The 5,644-nt window shown below is 38.9% G+C and overlaps 1 annotated feature.

Moving 5' to 3' along the window:
* Positions 3,404-3,473: an enhancer, noted in NCBI's record as "active region_6703". NCBI's record gives its function as "activates an Ori minimal core promoter by ATAC-STARR-seq in GM12878 lymphoblastoid cells {active_cell/tissue: GM12878}" and the evidence as "EXISTENCE:reporter gene assay evidence [ECO:0000049][PMID:35858748]".

Consider the following 5,644-nt stretch of genomic DNA (forward strand, 5'->3'; position numbering starts at 1 on the left):
ACTGTAAGATGATAAATTTCTATTGCTTAATCACTAATTTGTGGTAATGAGTTGTGTACACAGTAGAAAACTAACACATATATTGAACATATATATTTTTTTTACTTATGGTCCGCTCTCCAGTACAAATTCTGCCCAGAGGACTAATACCTTGCAAACTCTGTGTATAAATACCTTTTAAAATTTTACTAACAATTACATGTTTCATTTACATAGTGTTTATCATGTAAGATAGGCAGGCTATGGGTGAATATTCCCATTTAATAGATGAGGAAACTGAGCTTTAGACTGTAAAGTGTCTTGCTCAAAGTTGCAGAATTGATAAGAGAGTGGTTGGGATAGAATGTCGATTCTTGTCTTTTGACTCTTTCAATCTTTTTTCCATAGCACCAACTCTGTCTCTAGCATTATTTCATGTGCTCCTCATATCAACAGCAGAAGAAACAGATACAGATGCCATTGTTTTTATTTTATGGATGCAAAATTGTAGAGGAATTAAGTGATCAGTACTGAAACCAGGACAAGAACTCCTTACATTTAACTTGTAATCTAGGGCTCTTTCTGATTTGCACGGCCACGTATAAACTATGGTGTGTATGCCTAGGTTTAACACATGCAGGATATTTAAAGGAGAGAACGTATAGTTTAAATAAAAACAAACTTGACTTAGTATTGACCTAAGTTAGTTAATGTCCTTGAATCTTAATTTTCTCATTTGTAAAATACAAATAGTATATCAGCTTGACATAATTGTTGAAAGGATTTGTTCAGTTTTCAACAATAATGAGAAAGTTGCATTTAAACACAGCTCCTGGCATATATGAATATGTAAGCACATTGTGTCAGGGTATCATGTCAATTTCATGACAGCTTTATGTTCCTCCTCATAGACAAACAGAATCCACATTTTCAATCTGTCAAAAGTCACTAAATACTGGCTCCAATCAAGCTAATAAATCCAACCAAAGAAAGAGATATGGGGAAAACAAGATGTTCCCTTCATTATCATGGATGAATCTGTAGTGGTCCCTTTCCCTTCTTGAGTCCAAAAGGAAAACTTACATGAATGTGAAGGATTTAGTCTTCTGGGCTTCTGATAATTAGAGACACAAGAAAAAGTGAGTTTTAACTTCAGTGAACCTTTCCAAGAGAAATTGCAATCATGTTCAAGTCTGTTCCATTTGTATGGTCTCTATCAAATCAAAGTTAATGGGAACAGAGAGACCCCAACTTGAACAGGGAGCTCCTAAAATGCTAGGAAAATACATTTTCCACAATCATTTAAAAATACAGTACTACTTGACATAACTCTAGAAGGAACTTCTGTGGCTCAGCACAAACCTGCTCTCTTGAGATAAATACAACATTCTATAAGTAAAAGCCTCTTTTTAAAAAAAGAAAATGACTAATTAGCAATGGGACTGTAGATTGTGTTTTACTATGATGTAAGTTCTGATTATTTGGGGTATTTTTATATTCTCATAATGAAGATTGCTAATACTATCTTATCTAAAGCAATTTTGAAGAAATACATATTTCTTTACCCAAAATAATTCTTCATAGACACTGTCATTTTGGATAATAAAAAGCAGATAAAACATTTTATAAATAACTATTTAAACATTTATTATTTATTACTCTATGATTTTCCTTTGCGATATAAATTAAAGGGAGATTAGGAATCTTTGGAATATTTTAGTTCTTTGAGTATATGGATCATGAAATCCATCTCATGCTTTTTCTTCCCATTAAACATTGAAAACAGGTTATTAAAATAGACACACCGATGATATCTACCAACGACTTCTAAAGTCCTTGTATCCTCATGATATATATTAAATATGTATTCTTATATCCTATTGAGTAATCAGAAAATGTCATCAGTAAACCTGCATAACTGAAATGAATTCAGCATAAAAGTAAGGAGTCTCAGAATTAGATAGAAGTGTCAGCTCTCATGGGCTTCTTCACTTGGGCATCCTAAAAGCTATTTTAATTCAACATTCCCCAAACTGAACTCAACATCCCCTTCTACCCTTCTCCAACCTACTCTTCCTCTAGGTTTTCCATTCTGAATGGCAGCAGCCCCGCCTCCCACCTCTTCACCCTGGTTGTGAGCCTGGTTACTTTTCCCCCTCCCTCCTCACAATCAGCAAATTTCTACATCTTGACAGTCACTCTTTAAATATCCCTTGACTTCGGTCAGAATACCACCACCTAAGTCTATACATCCAACCTCTGTCACGTGGATACCGGAAATTATTTCTTAGCTAATCTCCTGCTCTGCTCTCATTTCTCTCCTCGCCATTGACACCTAGTTTCTTAACTATCACTTATGAGACTCCTGTGCTCAAAATTGTTCTTTTGCATCTCACTCCCTATAGGATGAAGACCATACACCTTAGCATGGAGTAAAATATTAGGTTGGTGTAAAAGTAATTGCAGTTTTTGCCATTACTTTCAAGAAAACTTTCATTGCTTAGATCCTCAAAAAAAAAAAAAAAAAAAAAAAAAAAAAAAAAAACTTACATTTTGCTGGTTGTGCATAAGTGCCCTGAACTTGGCCATTCTGAACTCTTGGAGGTTTGCTTCAAATATGGCATGCCCCTTCACAGCTCTGCACCGGCTCATCTACTGTCCTTACCAACTAAATTAGCTCCCCGCAACTTATCTGCCAATAAACTTCTGCTTGTTCTTTAAAAGGCTCTCTTCAGCTGCCCTTTCCTAATAACCCTGCTTTGCTCCAAGAGGCACTCCTTTCTCTCCCTGTACAGCATCCATTATGCTGACTTTACTTGTTTGTCTCCCTCGTTAAATGATAAGCTCTTTACGGGCTTCTTGTTCATAATTGCTTTCTGATAAATGAATGGTTCTAGGCTAACATTTTCCCCTGTCAAAGGAGGTAATTTAGCTCCAGAGAGGTTGAGCAACTTGCCCAAGGCCACATAGCTGAATAACAGACAAGCCATCCAGGAAGACACCACAGGCCTCCAGATGCCAGCCTAGTAATTACTGTCTGCATCCAGATGCTTTCATATTTAGCATAATCATATCTTACAGCAACAGCTTTCCCTGAGTTTTCTATGTTTACTAGTAAACTATTACTGTTGAATCAACTTTTTTTTTTTCACCAATGCCTTGATTTTCTCTTGGGAAACTACCTCTTACATATTCTCAGTGCTGTAATTAAAACAGGGCCGGCTCCATACCCTGACTTCAGAAAAAGGTAAGTGACACAGGGCTGCCCAATGGGAGTGCTATGTCCTCTGAGCAAATCAGAGACAATGAGCGTCAGCCCAGGACTTGAGAAAGAAAAGCTCTGTTTCCACTGGGCTATGAAGCTGAACTGAGAGAATAGACTCAGAAAGAAGTCAAAAGAGAGAAACACAGAGTTGAGAGATTTCTGAGGAAATGGTTTGAACACCTCCAGCCAGTCATTTCATATGCCAATATGGGGAAGTTTTGTCATGTGTTGACTTGGCTAAGCTACACTCTGTCACTCAGAATCCCCTTTGCTATAAATGTCTGATTAGAGTGGAACGCAAAAGACATTTTGCATGGGATTCAGAAGGTGGAGGTGAAGGCAACCACATTGTTTTTATGTCTGAAAGGGCTGGGCAGGGGCACCAGGTTCTGCTGCAGTGCATGTGCTTTGTCAGTTATCTACTGACTTTCCTTTGTTGTTGTGAGTCAACAGCCAGATTTACATCTACTCCACCTTCCCTCAGATTCTCTTACACTTTCACCGGCTCCTGGGCCAAGTGCATGTTTAGCTTGCACTTGGAAAGCATGACACTTGGAAAGATGACAAAGGGTGCCATCTTTCCTTCTGCAGGAAGGAGTTGACGTGGTCTGCAGATGATAAGACACAGACCAGGTTCCAGTCCATCCTCAGAGGTCAGATATATATATATATATATATATATATATATATATATATATATATCCCACTTTCCTGCTAGACAGCTAGCTCTGAAGTCTTCATGCTCCAGCATCAGAAATGAAGACAACAGCTATATGAAAACTCATGAACTAACCAGCTTTCAAAATTGCATAGATCTAATTCTTGTAATAAATCTCTTAGTGTGTGTGTGTGTGTGTGTGTGTGTGCGCGCGCACAGACACCTTTGATCGATTGAGCCGTTCTCTGATTGGACCCCAGCTGATACAGAATATTATCAAGTATCTTTTTCATTACATAGTTAATGTTTAAGTCAGTATGGTTTAAGTTTAAATTTAAGCCAGATGGAATTTGGTTTCTGTCACTTGCCACTAAAAAATGATTAATATGCAGGATTACCCTATTTTGACTAAGCAACTTGATATCCTGAGGGCAAGATCTGTCCTTCGCTTCTCCTTAAATCCCCAGCATGCAGCAAAATGTCAGATACATAGTAGGCACTCGACAGGCACATGTTGAATGAACTAACTAAAGGCCACAGAATAAAAATATTCTCTAGGGGACCCAGAGTTGAAGCCTCACACAATGTGAATCGTGTGGAAGATGAAATGCGAGATGAGAGGAACCCCATGCCTCTGCAGAAAGCCATGAAGATCCTGGGTCTGAGAAGCAGCTGGGCCTCCCACCTGGCCGCCTGGAGGAAGGCGCAGCACAGGCCTGACATCTCATGTTCACCACAAGCACAACAGGTGTCCTGGGGCCAGCCAGCCCTCGCACGGAAGCGAACTTCCTGTCACTGCCGACAGGGATTCACTAGATGTACATAACAGAAGTGGCGCAGGAAGGCATTTTTTCAATAGAAAATTTGAAAGCATATCAGATTCCTAGAAAAGGAAGCTTCTGAGAAGGTGATTTCACAGTAAGAAACCCCATGAATCATTAAAAGGATTTATATCTGAGATAAAACATAAATGTGAATCATTCTTTGTGCTTGTCTAGAACATTTTAAGAGAGCCTAAGGAAGTAAGTGGTTCATGGGAACCACAAAGACAAAAATTTCTCAACAGAAACCTTCCAAATGGTTTGACTGATATTCAGCATAAGTGAATCAGGCAATGAGCCAATTTATTTCCAAGAAGAAGCCTTCACAGAGAAAAAGATGTGACAATCACCTTGAATATTGAATCAAAATGGCAGAGGGCAGGCTAATCATGACCCCCAAAGATATCCAAGATCTAATCCTGGAACCTGTGAATATTACCTTATATAGAGAAAGCACATTTGAAGATGTGATTAAATTAAGGCTGTTGAGATGGGAAGAGTGTCCTGGATTATCCAAGTGGACCCTAAATGCAACCACAAGTGTACTCGTAAGAAGGAAAAAGAGGTAGATTTGACCATGGAGGAGATGGTGATGTGAAGAAGAAGTCAAGAGAGATTTGAAGATTCTGGCCTTGACAATGAAGTAAGGGGCCATGAGCCAAGAAATGCTATTCTAGAAGGTAGAAAAAATGTAAGAAAAGGGATTCTTCCTAGAGCCTCTGCTGGTGGTGGGATGGATGGGGGTGCATGGTCCTGCCAACACCTTCATTTTACCCTCTTAAAACCTATGTTGTACTTATACCCTCCCACCCCCGAGAACTGTAAGAGAACAAAGTGTGCTGTTCTAAGTCATCATGTTTGTGATGATTGGCAAAAGCAACCATGGGAACCTCATATTACGGACCAGACCCCAGAGCCACA

Source organism: Homo sapiens, chromosome 12, assembly GCF_000001405.40.
Source record: "Homo sapiens chromosome 12, GRCh38.p14 Primary Assembly".
In the NCBI taxonomy this organism is placed as follows: domain Eukaryota; kingdom Metazoa; phylum Chordata; class Mammalia; order Primates; family Hominidae; genus Homo; species Homo sapiens.